The following is a 19,711-nucleotide window of genomic DNA, read 5'->3' as shown; positions in this document are numbered from 1 at the left end:
GCTCTGAAGCAATTGAGAAATAAGACAAAATAGCAAACGAAGGCAAAAATTCCTCCCTGTTTAATGACAAAAGTGATTTAGGAGATTGCAGCTTGAATCTGTGGGGGCAAGTTCTTAATATTGAACACCAGAATCACAGACTTACCGAGTCATCTAATCATAACGGTCTAATCAGTTCAGACAGCATCTAATCATGTCTGTCTTCTCCACTATTTGGAAAAGGCGGACTATTCCTGTAAAAAAAAAAAAAAAAGTTATCAAAGAGGAACAGAGAAGAATACTTACAGCCCAAAGTCAGGTTGTTCCAAAGAGAAAGGTAGGAGGGAGGAGAGCTGTTTCTGTTTCCAAACTCATTAATCAGATAACTCAGTGCACTTCTCCTGGGAAGGAGTTATTAGGAATATGGGGAATGACCTAGTAATGGGTATTCCTCAGTAGAGATTAAACGTTATACCCTCCAACAAGACCCTAAAGTGCAAAGTCTACAGAGAGACAGGTAATCCCTTCCTGCCTGCCTAAAACCAGAGTTCAGAGTTCTGGTTTTCTTCTTGAGGACACAGCTCTTCTGATGAAAAACACAAGGAATGTTCACTTTTTCCAAGTAAGACTATGTCTACCTATACTGTGGCCTTAAGGTATAACTTTTGTCCCATGGAACTATCACCTAGAGTAAGGATAGTGTTTTGTTGTTTTTATCTCTCCTGTTGCAAGTGTATCCAATAGATATATTTTCTACTTCATTGGTTTTCTACCTACTTTTTTTTTATTTCAATAGGACTTTGGGGAACACGTGGTGTTTAGTTACATGAATAAGTTCTTTAGTGGTGATTTTTGAGATTTTGATGCACCCATCACCTGAGCAGTGTACACTGTACCCAATGTGTAGTTTATTAACCCTTACCCCACTCCCATTGTTCCCCCCAAGTTCCCAAAGTCCATTGTATCATTTTTATGCCTTTGCATCTGCATAGCTTAGCTCCCACTTATGAGTGAGAACATATGATGTTTGGTTTTCCATTCCTGAGTTACTTCACTCAGAATAATGATCTCCAATTCCATCCAGGCTGCTGCAAATGCCGTTATTTCATTCCTTTTTATGGCTGAGTAGTATTCTGGGGTATATATACCAAGTTTTCTTTATCCACTCAGTGACTGATGGGCATTTGGGCTGGTTCTATATTTTTGCAATTGTGAATTATGCTGCTATAAACATGCGTGTCCAAGTATCTTTTTCATATAATGAGTTCTTTTCCTCTGGGTAGATCCCCAGGAGTGGGATTGCTGGATCAAATGGTAGATGTACTCTTAGTTCTTTGAGGAATCTCCACACTGTTTTCCATAGTGGTTGTACTAGTTTACATTCCTGCCAGCAGTGTAAAAGTGTTCCCTTTTCAAAACATCCATGCCAACATCTTTTATTTTTTATTTTTTGTTTATAGCCATTTTTGCAGGGGTAAGGTGGTGTCACACTGTGGTTTTGATTTCCCTGATAATTAATGATGTTGAGCACTTTTTCATGTTTGTTGACTGTTTGTAGGTCTTCTTTTGAGAACTGCCTATTCATGTCCCTAGCCCGCTTTCTGATGGGATTGTTTTTGTTTTTCTCTTGCTGATTTGTTTGAGTTCCTTGTAGATTCTGGATATTAGTCCTTTGTTGGATGTATAGATTGTGAAGATTTTCTCCCACTCTGTGGGTTGACCATTAACTCTGCTGATTATTTCCTTTGCTGTGCAGAAGCTTTTTAGTTTAATTCACATCTCTTTATCTTTGTTTTTATTGTGCTTGCTTTTGGGTTCTTGGTCATGAATTCTTTGCCTAAGCCAATGTCTAGCAGAGTTTTTCCAAAGTTGTCTTCTAAAATTTTTATGGTTTCAGATCTTAGTTTTAAGTCTTTGACCCATTGAGTTGATTTTTGTACAAAGTGAGAAATAAGGATCCAGTTTCACTCTTCTACACGTGACTTGCCAGTGATCCCAGCACCATTCGTTGAACAGGGTGTCCTTTCCCCGCTTTATATATTTTCTTTTGCTTTGTCAAAGATCAGTTGACTTAAGTATTTGGCTTTATTTCTGGGTTCTCTGTTCTGTTCCGTTGGTCCATATGCCTGTTTTTATACCGGTACCATGATGTCTGGCCTTATAGTATAGTTTGAAGTTGGGTAATGTGATGCCTCCAGATTTGTTCTTTTTGCTTAGTCTTGCTTTGGCTATGTGGGCTCTTTTTCAGTTTCATATGAATTTTAGGATTGTTTTATCTAGTTCTGTGAAGAACAATGGTGGTATTTTGATGGGAATTGCATTAAATTTGTAGATTGCTTTTGGCAGTATGGTCATTTTTACAATATTGAATCTACCCATCCATGAGCATGGGATGTGTTTCCATTTGTTTGTTTTGTCTATGATTTCTTTCAGCAGTGTTTTGCAGTTTTCTTTGCAGAGGTCTTTCACCTCCTTGCTTAAGTGTACCTTAAAGTAATAAAAGCCACCTATGACAAACCCACAGCCAACATTAATACTGATGGGGAAGAGTTAAAGGTATTCCCCCTGAGAAGTGGAACAAGACAAGGATGCCCACTTTCACCACTTCAGTTCATCATGCTACTGGAAGTCCTAGCCAGAGCAATCAGACAAGAGAAAGAAATAAACGGCATCCAAATTGGTAAAGAGGAAGTCAAACTGTCACTGTTTGGTGATGACATGATCATATACCTAGAAAACCCTACAGACTCATCCAAAAAGCTCCCAGAACTGGTAAATGAGTTCAGCAAAGTACCAAGATACAAAATGAATGTACACAAAGCAGTAACCCTGCTATACACCAACAGCGACCAAGCTGAGAATTAAATCAATAACTCAACCCCTTTTGCAACAGCTGAAAAAAAAACCTTTGGTTTTTCTATTTTTAATCTGACTCAATCCAATTTGCGAGCAACCAACATGTATTTTCTGTCTTATATAGGGCTCCTTAATACTTTTTAATATTTTATTTTATAGTTTTTTAAAAACAGCTTTATTGAGGTATAAATATGAATGGTAAACTGGTACAATTTGTACAATTTGACAAATGTGTAAGCCCATGAAACCATTGCCACAACCATGATAGTGAATATCAATTGAAGATGAAAGATCAATATTTCCCCCCTGCCTTTTTGTAATCCCTCCTTCCTATTCTTCCTACCCACTCCTCCCAGGCAATCACTGACCCACTTTCTATTACAATAGATGTGTTTACTTAGTACTCTTTTTGGTTTAGCTTCTTTCACTCTGCATGATTATTTTGAGATTTATCTCAAAATTATTGTGTGTAAAAATAATTCATTCCTTTAAATTACTATCATTTCATACAATAGATATAGCACAATACATTTACCTATTTATGGACATTTGGTTGTCTCAAATAAAGCAGCTATGAACATTCATATATGCATCATTGTATGGATGTACGCTTTCTTTTCTCTTGAGTAAATATCTAGGGTACAATGTTTGGATAATATAGGAGGTTTATATTGAACTTTTAAAGACATTGCCAAACTATTTTCCAAATTGGTAATAACAATAATATATGAGAGCTCCAGTTCCTCTATATCTTCATTAGTTGATATGGTTAGTCTTTTTAAATTTTAGCCTTTCTAATTGGTTAACAGTGGCATCTTACTGTGGTTTTAATGTTCATTTTCTTAACAAAATGTGTCTATTCATTATTCATATACAGATTGAATATCCCTTATCTAAAATCCTTGGGATCAGAAGTGTTTTGTAATTCAGATTTAAAAAAAAAATTCTGGAATATTTGCATATACATAATAAGATACCTTGGGAATGAAACACAAGTCTAAACATGAAATTTATTTATGTTTCATATACACTTTATACACATAGCCCAAAGGCAATTTTTTATAATATTTTAAATTTCAGGTCAGATGTGGAATAGTTGTGCTCAAAAAGTTTCAAATTTTGGAGCATTTCAAATTTCAGACTTTCAGATTAGGGATGCTCAACCTGGATCTTCTTTGGGAAAGAATCTGCTCAAATATGTCTCCCATTTTTTTAAAGTGAGTTTTTAGTTGGGTTGTTTGGTTTTTATCATTGAGTTTTGAGAGTTTAAAAAATATATTCTAGAATATAAATCCTTTCTGAGATAAATGCTTTACAAATATTTTCTCCCATTTGGTGGTTTGTGACTTAATTAATGTCTTTCAAAGAGCATAGGTTTTAATGTTGATATTTTTAACGGTTCATCATTTCATGTTTTTCTTTTGTGTATCACGCATTTTATGTTGTATCTAAAATATCTGTGTCTATGTCTTATATCTTTATAGTCTGAGGTTTACATTTAGGTCTATGATCCATTTTGAGTTAATTTCTTTATATAACTATAGGTATTGATCCAAGTTCTCTATTATTTTGCAAAAGTTTTTCAGCATCATTTGTAAAAAGACTATTCTTTCTACCCTGAATTGTCTTTGTACCTTTGTTGAATATTACTTGTCCATATGTGTGGTACCCATATATCCATTGGTTGTCGTATGTATGGATCTGTTTCTGCACTGCCTATTCTGTTCCATTGATTAATTTGTCCATATTTACACCAATGCCAAAGCGTCCTGATTACCTTTATAATAAGTCTATATAAACACTATATAATAACTCTTTATAATAAAACAGTATAAGTCTTCTGATCTCGTTTTTCTTTTCTCAAGATGATTTGGCTATTCTAACTTCTTTGCATTTTGATATGAATTTTAGTATCAGTCTTTTGACTATTACCAAAAACAAAGCCTAAGATTTTATTGAGTATTTCATTGAAGCTACAGATCAATTTGGGTAGAATTGGCATCTAATAATATTAAACCTTAAGGCCCATGAACAAGGTATGTCTCTCTGTTGTTTAGGTCATAGTTCATTTTCCTCAGCAATATTTTATAGTTTTCATGTACAAGTCTTGTCCATCTTTTGTCAGATTTATTCCTAATTATTTTATATTTTAATGTTATCTCCAATATTGGGTTGGTCTAAAAGTAATTGCAGTTTTTACCATTACTTTTAATGTATTTTAATAGCATTTTTTACATTTCAATTTCCAAGTGCTAATATGTAGAAATACAATTGATTTTGGCATTGATCTTGTACTCTTCAAACTTGCTAAATTTACTTATTGGTTCTAGGGATTGTTGTAGATTCCATCAGATTTCCTACATAAACAATCACGCACTCCGCAAATAAAAACAATTTTGCTTTATCTTTCTTAACTTAAATGCAATTTTTTGCCTTATTGCTCTAATTAAACCTCTAGCACGGTGTTGAATAGTAGTACATCTTTTTCTTCCTTAATTTAGGAAAAAATCTTTGTATTTTTCACAATTAAGTATTATGTTTCCTCTAGGTTTTTCTTAGATACCTTTTATCAGATTGAGTGGAAGTTCTATTTCTGGTTAGCTGAGAGTTGTTTTTTTTTTTTTTTTTTTTTTTAGTTAGGAACAGATGTTTGATTTTGTCAAATGCTCTTTCTGCATCTGTCTTAGTCTGTTTTTCTGCTGCTGTAAGAGAATACCACAGACTAGATATTTTGCATAGAAAAAATGTATTTCTTAAAGTTCTGGAGACTGAGAATTCCAAGATTAAGGGGCTGCGTCTGGTGACAGCCTTCTTGCTCCATAATAATGGCAAAAAGATCACACGGTGCGAGAAAGTGCTGGCTTAGATCTCTCTTCCCTTCCTTATAAAGCCACTAATTATACCATGGGCACCCCACCCTCATGACCTCATCTAATCCTAATTACCTCGCAAAGACTCCACCTCTGAATACCATCGACATATAAATTCGTGTATTAACTTTTCAACACATGAACTTTTGGAGGATACATTCAAATCATAGCAGCATCTATTCAGATAATGATATAGTTTTTATATTTTCATGTGTTAATAGGATATATTACTTTGATTGATTTTTAATAGTAAGCCAAACTTTCATTCCCAAAATAAACCCTATTTGGTCAGGATGTATTATCCTTTTCATATATTCTTGGATTCAATTTTCTAAAATATGGTTCCAATTTTTGTGTCTATGTTCCTGAGGAATATTGTTCCGTTATTTTCTAATCTTATAATGTTTTTGTTTGGTTTTGGTATCAGGATAATAGTAACCTCACAAAATAAGATGGGAAGTATTTCATTCTCTTCAATTTTCTGTAAGAGTTTGTGTAAGATTAGTATTATATGTTCCCTAAATATTTGGGAGAATTCATTAGTGATGCCATCTAAGCCTGAAATTTTTTTTTTTTTTTTTTTTTTTTTTTTTTTGAGACGGAGTCTCGCTCTGTCGCCCAGGCTGGAGTGCAGTGGCGGGATCTCGGCTCACTGCAAGCTCTGCCTCCCGGGTTCACGCCATTCTCCTGCCTCAGCCTCCCAAGTAGCTGGGACTACAGGCGCCCGCTACTACGCCCGGCTAATTTTTTGTATTTTTAGTAGAGACGGGGTTTCACCGTTTTAGCCGGGATGGTCTCGATCTCCTGACCTCGTGATCCGCTCGCCTCAGCCTCCCAAAGTGCTGGGATTACAGGCGTGAGCCACCGCGCCCGGCCGAAATTTTTTATATTAAGGAATTATAAGTTCAATTTTTAATAAGTATAAAGCTAATCAAGTTTTCTAGTTCTTCTTTTGTGCACTTTGACACTTTGTATCTTTTTTATGTCATAGACTTCACAGCACATTGCTATAATTTTGTTTAAATAATCAAATATCTTTTTAAGAATTTAAATTTAAGAACATAAATCAAGTATAGTTTTCCATAGTTCCCATTTATGGTTCTCCTTGTTTTTTTAAGTAGATTCAGATTTTCATCTGGTACCATTTTTCTTCTACTTGAAGGGCTTCTTTTAACATTTCTTGTATTGAGGTGCTATTGGTGATCAATTATTTCAGCTTTTGTATGACTGAAAGAGTTTTTATTTCACTGAATATAGATGATAGTTATTTTTCCTTCTAAATATGTTGATCCACTGTCTTTCGCTTGCATAGTTTCAGATGAGGAATTTGCTGGCTGTCATATCTTTGTTCCTCTTATGTAATACATGTTCTTTCTCTGGCTACTTTTAAGATTTTCTATTTATCATTGCTTTGGAGAAATTTGATTATTATATTCCTTGGTGTAATTTTCTTTATGTTTCTTGTAATTAGAGTTCTTTGGGGTTGTTGGATCTGTGGGTTTATAGATATCATCAAATTTGGAAATTTCCAGCTATATAATGTCAATTTTTTTGCCTTCTCCCTACTGTCTTACATGTATATTATTACATGTATATTAATGATGTAATGTATATTATGTAATGTATGATGTAGTGTAATGTATATTACATGTACATTAATGAGTATCTCATTACATATTAGCCTGATAAAATTTGTCTCACAACTACTGAAGCTCTTATAATTATTTTAAAATATTTTTATTTCCTCTTTGTGTTTTGTCTTGAGTAGCTTCTATTGATGTTTTCAAGTTTGCTAATCTTTTATTCTGTAATGTTTTAACTGCTATAAATCCCATCTAGTGTATTTTTCATCTCAGACATTATAGTTTTTAGCTCTCGCTGTTTGATTTTTTTTGTATTTTTATAACATACTCTATATTTTTTTTAGCTTTTGGAATACTGTTAAATTAACTTTTCAAATGTCTGTGTTTAATAATGCTAACATCTGTGTCAGTTCTGGGTAGATTTCAATTGATTGATTATTCTCTTCATTATGGGTCTTATTTTTTCTGCTTCTTAGAATGTCTGGCACTCTTTTATTGGTTGCCAGACACTGTGAATATTACCTTGTTGGGTCCTGGATATTTTTGTGTACCTATAAATATTCTTGAGCTTTGTTCTGGGATATAGTTAAGTTCCTTGGAAACATTTTGATCCTTTTGAGTCTTGCTTTTTAAGATTTGTTTGGCTGGACCATGGCAGCATTTAGTCTGGTAATTTATTCCCTAGTACTGAGACAGGACCTTTCTAACTACTCTACCCAATGCTCCATAAATTACAAGATTTTTCAGTCTGGCTATTGGGAACAGACCCCATTCCCAGCCTTTTAACTGCTGAATATTTTTTATCTAATAGTTTCTCCAGCGTTGGACCATTTTCTCACATACATGTTTTAATCAGCACTCTGCTGAATACTCAAAGGGAATCCTCTGAGGATCTCCAGAGTTACTCACTCCTGTATCCCAACTACTCTGTCCTACACACTGTAGCTACCTTTGCAGTTGTTTGAGTCAGAGAGCTGAATCTGATCCCTGTTATTCCATCTTGGCTACAAGTAGAAGTCAATCATTTATTTTTAAATGAAATTTAAAGAAAATTGGCAAGATATGTACAAAAACTCCCATATCTCCTTACCCAAAGTTCCCAATTATTAACATTTTACCCCTTTCCTCCATCTCTCTCTCTCTCTCTCAAAATTTACATTATTCTGTTATAAACCATTTAAGCAGTAATTGCAGACCTGATGATTAATCACTCCCAATTCCTCCAGTGTATATTTCTCCAAAACAAATACATTCTCCTACATAACCACCTTACAACCCTCCAAATTAAGAAATCAACATTGATATAACACTGCTATCTAATTAACAGAACACTCTCAAGTTTTTCCAACTGTCCCAATAATATCTCTTTATTTTCTTGTCCAGGAGTCAACCCAGGATCATGCATTGCATTTAATTGTCATAGATTTTTAAATCTTCTTCATTCTGGAACAGTTCTTCAATCTTTCTATCTCTTCATTCTGTAGATATTCCTCTACCTAAGTTTATCTGATGATTCCTCATGTCCAGAATCAGGCCATTACTACTTTGCAGGAATGCTCTGATGCTGTACTTTACTTGGGCTATCACATCAAGAGACACATGAGGCCAATCTCTCCCTCCAATAGTGAAGTTGCTGTTCACTGGATCAAATTGACATCTACTAAGTTTCTCCATCATAAACTCAATGTTTTCCCTCTTCATAAGTATTTGGCAGGGAGATACTTTGATACTATGCCAATATTCAGCTCCCAATCAAACCTCCACCTTCCACATTCAACATTATTGATGGCTCACATTGAATTTCATGGAACCTGGACTTAACCCATATGCACTTAGTTTTCCAAAGGCATCGGCAACTATGATCAGCTGTTCCAGCTGTAACAGTCCTAATCTCCACTGCGGATCCATATATTTTTTTTAATTCCATAGTTTAGAGAAGCAGTTATATCCATCTAACCATCCAACCATATATAATTCATTCACTCATTCATTCATTAAACAAAAATTGTTGATATATCTACCATGTGCCAGGCACTGGAAATATAAAAAAAATAAGATGTCCAGGCGTGGTGGCTCACACCTGCAATCCCAGTACTTTGGGAGGCCAAGGCAGGCGGATTACCTGAGGTCAGGAGTTCAAGACCAGCCTGGCCAACATGGTGAAACCCCGTCTCTACTAAAAATACAAAAATTAGCCAGGCATGGTGGCAGATGCCTATAATTCCAGCTACTCAGGAGGAAGCTGAGGCAGGAGAATCGCTTGAACTCAGGGGGTGGAGGTTGCAGTGAGCCGAGATGGCACTACTTCACTCTAGCCTGGGGGAAAGAGCAAGACAAAAAATAAAATAAAATAATAAAAAAAAATAAGATACACTAATTGTACCTAATACAGTCCTAGCTTTAGTAGGGAAAAATGGCATGTCAACTAGTAATTACAATTTAATATGATTACAACAATATAATGCATTATTAAATATATGGAGTATCAAAAAAGCTTTATTAGCATATAAAAGGTTTCCTAAAGAGGTAATATTGGAGCTAGGTTCTTTAAGGTGAGTTATTTGTCTTTGGGTGGAAGTGAGGGGAGAGTAAGGATGTTTGAGATGGGAGAAAGAGGGAGGGCGGCAAGAAGGTAAGAGAAGAGAGACTGGTGATGGGGAGGGAGAAACAGAATGGAAAATTGTAGGTGGGCCAGGTCGGTGTGGGACAAATTGTTTTGATCATGCTTAGTAGTCCAGTTTTTATTCACTAGCGGTTCCCACTAAAAGTACAGATTCCTGGGACTCATCCTGAAGTTATTGAGTTAGAATCCCTGAGGAGGATCTGGGAATCTGTATTTTAACAAACATCTCAAGTTTATGAATCACTGCCATAAGCCAAAGAATATTTCAAATGCTTTAAAACAAAAGTGAAATAATCAGGTTTGTGTTTTTAAAAGCTCACAAAGGGACTTGTGGAGGATGACTTCGAAAGGGAGGCAGGTAGACACAACCATCTGTGTCCTCAGTCAGAGCACTCTACCAGTTATTGGCAACACACAGACTTCTAAATCCTATCTTTTCTGGAGCTTAAGTGATCTTAGCTGAATTTAAGGCATTTGTGGAGAGGATTTGATCCAAGCTACCAGCATTGTGTCTTGTGTTTCTGAATTGTTCAGGCTGTAAAGAAGATCCAGACCACTAAGATGCTCCAAAGTAGATTGTTAGAAGACACTAGCCGACAAGATCTGCCAAGAGTCTCATTGTTGAACATGTTCAACAGTTGAACTCTATGTTCAATAAGAGAAATTGTGGTGAATATGGTTGATTGGCACTCAATACCTATTCTACCCTCCTTTTAGTGCAGTGGCTTTTAAACTTTTTAAATAACTCAACCCACAGTAAGAAAAACATCTGATATTGCAATCCAGTATACACATATGTGTACTACAAAATAGTACTTGTGCTTACTGAGTTCATGATTTCTGATATTTTCTATTCTGTTCTATTTTCTTTCTTTTAATGTTCTCATGATCTGCTAATGATGGGTTCTGATCCCAAATTTGAAAGCCATTGCCGTGATGTGCAATGAAGACTACTTTTTCTCACACATTTCAGCTAAAGTCCCAGATGTATTTAGGCTTTGCAAACCAAATATCCTCATATTGCTTTTGCCATTTCTGCTGGCAGGTGTGTTATAAAGGTGTTTGGTCTTCTTGGCAATGTCAGCAGAGATTTGGTTGCTAGCATAGGTACCTTGCATGGGTATTTAGGAGAAAGGCAATGGACATCCATTTTTGCTAGTGCAGTTTGTGTCAGGAACAGAATGGTTCTGGAGTATGTAGCATTAGTGGCTTCATAATCCTGATACCTTTTAATCAGGAGGTTCTCTGATTGCAGTGGCTTTGTGATCAAGGCAGTGGCAATGTGGTGCTGGAGCCTGAGGAGCCCTGATCCTAGAGTGGCAGCAGCTCCCTTGGTTTCCAGTACTGTGTGTAACTGGGCAGGGCAAAGGAAGGTAACCAAAAGCTCACTCTATAGGCTGTGTTGTCTCTCCTTCCAAAAATTCTTTATGCCACTTAAAAACCTATAGTAAATCGCTACCTGCCTAAATTAGCTAGAGAGTATTCTGTTCTCTGCAACAGAACCCTAGACACAGAATAACCAGTCCTGCTGAATTACCAGTGAAGTACCAGCCGAGGGGGCTCAGGACTTGCTTAAGCCTTTATTCAGCAGAACTTATCTGGGTCTAGCCACAAAAATGAAGGAAGGACAACTGTGTCTAACAGCATGGGTCAATCTTAGAACCATAAGGTAGAGCAAAAATAGCAAAACACACAGTATATGGTTCTGTTTATATAAGGTTTTTTCTAAAACATGCAAATTAAACTATATTGCATAGTGATAGATCTAAAAAGAAAAGAAATATTTAACATTGATATGGTTTGGCTGTGTTCCCTACCCACAATCTCATCTTGAAGTTTAATCCCCGTAATCCCCACATGTCAAGGGAGAGACCAGGTGGAGGTAATTGAATCATGGGGGTGGTTTCCCCCATGCTGTTCTTGTGATAGTGAGAGAGTTCTCATGATATATGATGGTTTTACGTGTTTGGCAAGTTCCTCCTTTGCCCATTTTTCTGTCTCCTGCTGCCCTGTGAAGAAGGACATGTTTGCTTCCCCATCCACCATGATTTTAAGTTTCCTGAGGCCTCCCCAGCCATGAACTGTGCCATTGAACTGTGAGTCCATTAAACCTCTTTCCTTTATAAATTACCCAGTCTCACGTAGTATCTTTATAGCAATGTGAGAATGGACTAATACAACCATAAAATTCAGGATATGGGGCATGTGATTGGTAAGGTCATGGAAAGACTTCAGAGATGACTATGTTCTATTCTTGACCTAAATGGTCATTTCACAGGAGCTTGGTTTATGTACTTTTCTGTATGTGCATTCTATTTTACATTCTCTGTCACACACACAAAAGATTAAAAACTACAACAGAAAACAAAAATTTTAATTTGGATTCATACAACTTTGGAATTAAAAAATAATCTATGATCATCTGGTTCATCTACTCACCAGGTGTTTGACTCTTCCTACAGCCTTTGCATGGATGATTGTCTGTCCTCTGTTGGGCCCCTTCTGAAGAGTTGGAGTTGGGTAAGTGTCACTCATGAGAGCAGGAACACAATCAGGCAAACCACAGGTGAGCCTTCTAGCTTTATTTTCATGTAACTATGATTGTCCACTCTCTTCCTTCAACCAACCTGCTGTCAGGTCACTGCAGACCGTATTTAAAGAACTCAAAATGATCACAAACCTAATATTAAACCTTAGCACCCTAAGAATATAACTTCTCTCACCCTGACCCTTAGGTTATAGAACCTTTTTCATTTAGCAGGAGGATATCTATTTGTTATTTGTTGTTGTTGCTTGCAAGACACAAGTAAGACAGCAGTGATTAATATAACAGCAGAAAAAGAGATCCAAACCACATGGGTTATCTTCAAATATAAATCACTTTCTTTTTCAAATGGGCTGATAAGGTTTAGGGAAAGGTATTGGGAAAATAGAAATGAGGGACGGGGTGAAAGAAGACCCTACTTTTTGTGTAGCCTCCTTTCATGATATCTTAGAGCTCTCCAGAGTGACCTGAATTTAATAAGGGACACGTGGTCTAGATCTAAAAGTTCATTCAATAGAGGAAAATTCACAAACTGCAGCTCTGCTTCTCCGGTTTTCAAAGAAAGAAAAGGTTGGTTTTCTTCTGGGACTAATGTTGGTAAGATTAAATGTTAATGCTTGGAACATTTTCCAGTAAAAGGTGCTGTGTAAACTTCAAATAATACACTTGTTTTGCAGGTTAAACTTTTTGTTTTTACAGAGACGTAGCATTTCAGGAGAACTTTTCCAAAAGCTGTTTACTTTTTCCTGGTGCTTCTTAATACTTGAAAGATTTTTCTGCTAATTAAAGATTCCCAAATAAGTGGCATGATACAAAAGGATAATGTATCTTCTGTTTGTCCAGTTAAATATTGGCTGAATGAATCACAATGAACAAATGAATAAATGTATAAAAGAATAAGTAGCCATGTGGAATTAGGTGGTTCTTTTTGAAATATACAAAAGTTACATATTTTTATGGGGATGATTTCTGAGAATTACAGGTGATGATTTGATTATAACAAAAGACAAAACTAAATAAGTAGAGCTGCCTTTCTACTCCATGCAGAAAAACAAAAGTTGAAAAATGAAGCAATTATCTGGATAGTTCAGACAAAAAACTAACTATAGAGGGAACGAGGCCCTTTTTCGTGGCCCAGATTCATTTGAGCCATCCAATAACATGACCCACTATAGTGGAATTTGGCATTAAGCAGGCTTGTCTTGGCTCCTGTCCAGTGGGGTTTAGTTACTGAATTCCTTAAAGGACATTGTTCAAACATGGTCTCCCATGTAACTCGGTTCTAAGGCGTGAGCTGCAAGAACCCTGACATCACCATGTGACTCCAGGTCATTATTTCATTGGATCAAATTATCCAGAAAAACACTATCATTCCAGTTTACCTTTCTGGGTTAGGCAAACATAAAATGAATTGTCCAAGATTTGCTACATAACAATTACATGGAAATAACTAAAAGCTTTGCCTGCAAAGTGTATTAGTAAATATGATCCTGATTCCTGGATTCTGCAAATAGAAGCAAATTGGTATCTGCTAATTCTTCACTCACCACACCTGCCTTCTATAATCTTGGTTTCTCTGAACGCATATTTGGTTACTGAAATAATTGTGTTGATTTGATGAATGATAGAAATCACAACAGTTAAATTGCCTACCACTCCAACTGTCTGTCATGACTCTAACTTCCTCTCTGAACTCTTGTTTACCAATTCAAGAAAATGCAAGGATGTTTTGCAGAGGGTAAGCATATTGCAGAAATAGCAATGATGGTCTTTTACTTGCTTCCTCAGGACTGCCACAGCTTTGCTGGCCATGCCTGAGCAAGGTTTTTTATAAAACAACCTGGGACTGGGCATTCTGCCCATGCACACACCTGGCAAATCATAGCCTTCCCTCCTTGGGAACTCAGATGCACACTGGGTTCCCGTTTTCTTTGACTGCAAAACAGACAAGGACCAGCTGGTTAGTGCTGACAGGGTTCACACTACTGATGGGAACACTACTTAAGTGTCCTGCATTTGCTCATTATTTATCAATGGGGAGATATTTTTCTGGAGAAAAGCAAGTCCTTTGTCTTCTATAGAGCGGAAAGTCTGTTATTCCGATGGGAGATGACCTAGGAAGGAAAAGTTGATCATTCATTTCCCATGTGTAAAGTCCCAAGTGTAATTCCCATGTGTGAGATTTTATTTTAAAGATTTGAGTTCTAATATAAGAAATTAATTGTGGCCCTAGAAATACCAGATTCTCAACTTTTTTCTGTAGCAATATAATTTTTAATAGCCGAGTATGTCATTTTTCATTTACCAGGTTGCTTTTATCACTAATTTGAAGCATATATGATTGTTATAAGTATTATTAATTACTTGTATATAACTTTACACTGAAAATAACTTCTGACATCATTGGCCTCAAGACATCCAATAATGCCATGCCATGTTTAATGTGTGAGTATAGAGATAACACGTTCCTGTATGGGTGTGCAAACCTCATGTGAGCCTGGGGACTCTGAGAGATAGAAAAGTGGAGAATCAGGCACTTGGCTGATGAAGGGGTAAGGAAGGAACCTCTAATGCCTGTCCTGTTCTCTCCTCACTATTCCACCTATTTTCCAACATTGTGTGGGACAACATAGAAAAAAAATTAAAAATAAAAATTTCTACACCTTTACCTGAAATTTAAAACTCCCAAGCTTTTATTCTCTCCCTCCTCCAACTCTTCTGTTTTTTTTTTATCTCTACTTCTCTGTCTCCACCTCCTCCTCTTCTCTCCTTCTCTTGTTTTGCTCTTTTTAGTCTTGTTAGATCAAATATCAGGTTCTCTTTTGTCTTTATTACTCTGCTTAACATTGAATATTCATATTCATTCAAGTAAGCTCATTTTTGCATGTTTCCCAACCAAGAAACTAACAGAACATAATAGAAATGTAACTGATACTAAGCTATTGTCCTGGAAGCAGATCTCATTACAATTATATGTAAGAGATATTTAAAAATAGCTCTAAACCAGGAGGCATATTTATGGTCTTCTGAAGACGAACAGACTTATTTATAGGTGAAGAGTCATTCCATAAGATAAGCTAAAATTAATCATACCACTGAATTTTCAAAGAGGTTAGAGTCCAAATTAAATATAGAAGGGCAAACCAGTTTCTTCCTCTTATGTATTTTAATGAAGACTAGAGAGACTGGAGAAATATTTATATTCTTTTATTCATATTTTCAGGATTGCCTCATGTCTCAATTTTTTTCCCCCAAATCTCCCCCTTAAGTGAGGGTACTTCAAAGTGAATATGGGGATTCTCAACTCCTCATATCTTTTTGTTTAAAAAGGAAGAATTAATGGGACTAAAAATTTAAAACAACAGATGTACTAAACGTGTGATTACTGCTGTGAATAAGACATATGGGGGAGTCCCACTCCCTGTGGTTGAGGGCTGTGGTGGAGGTCTGATTCCATCCCAGAGGAGCTGAGCCTCAAGCCGCCACTAGGAAAGGACCGCTGATTTCCCTCAGCGTGAAGGAGATAAGGAGCCATTGCTGTCTAAACATAGCTATCTAACCGCTTGTGGTTAACAGGAGACCCTGCTAAGAATTTGGGGTAATTCAGTTAAGAATGACTATTGGAATGTGCTGTGTGGTAAGGGAGAAAATCTACTTCCAACTGACTTGCCACGTGACTCTGATGGAATTCAAGGGCAGAGAGGAACCAACTCTTCTAGACTCCTCTGCCGATGGCAACATGGTGAAGTGAGCTGCACTCCAGAATCCAGGGTCACAACAGTTCCAGTTGTGCTTAAATGCTATCTCTTCCATTCTGGCCCCAGATTTTTTTTTCTGTCTCTCGACAGAGCTACATAGCTGAGTCATGACGCCTTGAGTGAGAAAACAGCGTCTTCAGACAGTGCCTGAGATAAGAAAAAAAGTGAAGTAGAGTCCCCAGAACAGTGGTGTGTATGTTGATATCACTGAGTTATGGACTATTTCCTTTTAGCCAGTTTCAAAAGATGACTTAGATGACTTTCTCCATATGCAATTAATTCCACATATAACTACAAGAAACTGCATATTTTAGAACAGTTGTGTCATCAGTATGAATGTTTAAACAATCTCTGTGGTCTCTTTCCCACAAACTGATTTAACATGTATATAAAGAGGCTTTGGAATGAGCACTTTACATTTGCTTCTCAAACTTCAGCGTCTGTTTTCAGTAAATATTGAAGATGAAACTTGCCTCATTCATGCCTGGAGCACTGGCCAGTTACAACAAAGGAATGCGGTTGCTGGGCTTCTCATGAATAAAATTCTCCAGTTGTGAACCTAGCCTTTCTCAGGCCATGTCAACAGCAAAACAACAGAATGGATGTGGAATAAAGCATTGGTGGTCAGTCTGTTGAGCTGGCTACAGATTATCCTAATTAATATCCCAATGGTGGGAGTAACACAGACCCACGTTCAAATTCTGCCTCTATCATTTATAGGTGGGGTGCCCATGTATTTGAGTTTGCCCAGGGTGGTTTCAGCTCACTCTTACTGCTCTGGTGTAATTATTGATAGCAATTCCTTCCTATTTCAGATGTGTCCCAGTGTGAGCTATAATACATATGCTCACCCTACTCATAGCAACACCCCGCTGACTTCTCTGTGTCCCTGCTTTTTACGGGTACAGGAGTATGTGTTGGGGTTCTATTCTAGAGGCCCATTTCATATGACAAAGTCATCAAAACTGATTATAAAATAACTTAATTAAAACAAACTACATATGTGGTATAACAATTTATTAAAATATTAAGGTATGGTTTTTCTCCTCACACATTTTTTTCCTTCTTCGCTGATTTTAAGCAGGAACCTGTTCCTTGTATGCTCCTTTGCCTCAGGGACTTTTTGCAGGATGGAAGGGGAAAGCCCCTGAAGTCCTCCGTGACTATTTTTGTCTTTTGTAAAAGCCTAAGACCCTTGAAGAGATAATGTTAAGTGCCCCAGACTCCAAAAAAGAGAGGCAAAGTCACTGGAGGGCAAAGCGAGGCAAGAGAAGCTCTTTTGCCTAATAGGATAGAGAAGGAAGGCTGAAGACCCCTCTAAGAAAGCGAGCAGAAGAGCTGCTAACTAAACCCATTAGTTTTAGGATCAGCTTTATAATTTGCAAGGCCCAGTGCAAAATGAAACTGTGGAAACTTTTGTCCAAATTTCAGGACTTCAATAGAAGAGCATTAAAACAAACTCAGGGTTTTTCTGAGCAGGGGACCCTGTGAGACTACCCATGTCACTTGTGAATAAAGCTATCCCTTCCCAGAGGAGATGGCTCCTCAGGGCATCTAGAGGGAGGCACTTTCCTCAAAGCCTTCTAACCACAAATTGGCACCACCAAAATTCTGGGCCCACTGTGGGCTTCACAGTGGGATGCCAGTGATACCTTGAAAAATTGGAGGTTAGAGCTCCTTCCTCAATTGTCCTTATCCCGAGCAAGCTTTCCAGGTAGTGGTATGGTTTTGGGAAGGAGAGGGGGCCCTCAAAAGGATGAGGTAGATGTTTTTGCCATCTTTTAAGGATGGAGGCTGAGAGTCAGAAAATTAAATTGATTTAAAGAAATGAGGAAATTGATATGTTTTGAACACTTCAGTTTGTAGACTAAAATTTATTCAACGTATGCTTTTATAAATATTTAAGCATATAAAACCAAATGTTTAATATAAGATCCACATTGTAAATATTCCTTTGAGAGTATTTTTCTGCATGGACTGGAATGGCTGAGCTTCTTAAAATATAAGTCCATGAAATGGAAGGAAAGATGCCTGCTTTTCCTTCACTACTGCAAGGACCCTTGATCTCCATTTAAAATTCAGATTGTCACAAACATTTTTCTTGTCCATTTCATGTGCAAAAATGCTCTAAGAGTCATTGAATGGTAGGTTCTGTGAGATGAGAAATTTCCACGGCTTTGGTAACTGATTATAAATTTGAGCATCTCATTTAGGAGGGAGTAAATGTTTTTTTTAAAAGTCACAATTCTCTGTAATAGTGTGATATTTGAGCAAGTTCCTTAACCTGCTATATAGCGTTCTTATCTGTAAAATGAGGATCATACCTCTTGGGTTGTTGTGAGGACTAATGAGGTGACATACACTCTACCTGGCATACTAAATGGTGGATCCAGGACCTGACTCTGCTATGTTAGTCATATAATGGGGACACAATTTCTAGTTCATGGTTACCTCAAGCTGCTGCTGCTGCTGCTGCTGCTTCTGCTGCTGCTGCTTCCTCTTCTTCTTCTTCTTCTTCTTCCTCTTCCTCTTCCTCTTCTTCTTCTTCCTCCTCCTCCTCCTCCCCCTCCTCCTCCTCCCCTCCTCCTCCTCCTCGTCCTCCTCCTCCTCCTTATTCTTCTTCTTCTTCTTCTTTGGTTGTAAATAAGAGAACCCCCAACCACCATGAAGTGCTGGAGGTTTTTTTTGTTGTTTTAACACTAAGGTAAATTGCCTTGTCTGCAAAAGGACAAGCTAACGCCAATCTCCTTAGATGCCCATGGACCATGGAACAGATTACTTCATGCTGCTGTCAACCACCCCTGGCCTTGGGCATATATTGAATCATTGGGGATTACAATCAAAAAGGACCAGAGAGATCATTGCCTTCACTGGTCTTTGAAGTGCATACCTGGGAAGGGCTCTGTGGAGGTGATTTAGGGACTTTGCAGGGAGCCCAAGGGGCCTCCTAGCATATGTGGTCCCAGACATCTACTTCCCACTTTGCCAGAGGAAACGCCAGAGGTATCTGTTTTATATATTGGCCATCTAAGTAAGGTTTTAACAAAAGGGCTCTGCAGCCATGAACATTTGAAAATCATGGATCTGATCCAACCTTGTAATTTTAGAGTTGATGACATTTCGAAGTAGAAGACTAAGTGTCTTAACCAATATCACACAGCTAGTTAGTGGCAGAGCCAGGAGTAACCGAAGGTCAACTCCCAGTCCTGAACAGTTTTCCATCTAGCAGACTGCCTTTTGCTGAAAGATGAAGCTAAAATCGCAGATGTTGCAGGGTCAAGATTAACACCTTACAAATCAGATGTACAAAAACAGTAGCTTATTTATTTTCTGTAACTGATTTAATCTTGCTCTGAAGCTCTCATTTCCACCAATGGTGGAAATAAACTTGCTAAGTTACAGTCTCTTCCAGGGTGGAAAAAAAGGGGAAGAGGGCTTCCTTCACTCAATTTGATGCTGAAACTCCCTATCAGAGTCTATTCTCTACTTTCTATAGA

General features: G+C 37.2%; 1 long non-coding RNA gene across 4 annotated transcripts in view; it reads left to right on the top strand.

Annotated features, from left to right (window-relative positions):
* MSRB3-AS1 (MSRB3 antisense RNA 1) overlaps window positions 1-19,711 on the top strand; it is a 175,556-nt gene that overhangs the window by 59,951 nt on the left and 95,894 nt on the right. For 3 of the 4 annotated variants that reach the window (NR_120431.1, NR_120433.1, NR_120432.1), the window contains one exon: window positions 12,374-12,431. This is a non-coding gene — a long non-coding RNA (MSRB3 antisense RNA 1). Of the gene's footprint in view, window positions 1-12,353; window positions 12,432-19,711 lie in introns of all 4 variants that reach the window. The other variant, NR_120434.1, reaches the window with a different exon arrangement.

This window comes from Homo sapiens, chromosome 12 (genome assembly GCF_000001405.40).
Source record: "Homo sapiens chromosome 12, GRCh38.p14 Primary Assembly".
Classification (NCBI taxonomy): Eukaryota; Metazoa; Chordata; class Mammalia; order Primates; family Hominidae; genus Homo; species Homo sapiens.
This window is presented reverse-complemented; position numbering and strand designations above follow the sequence as displayed.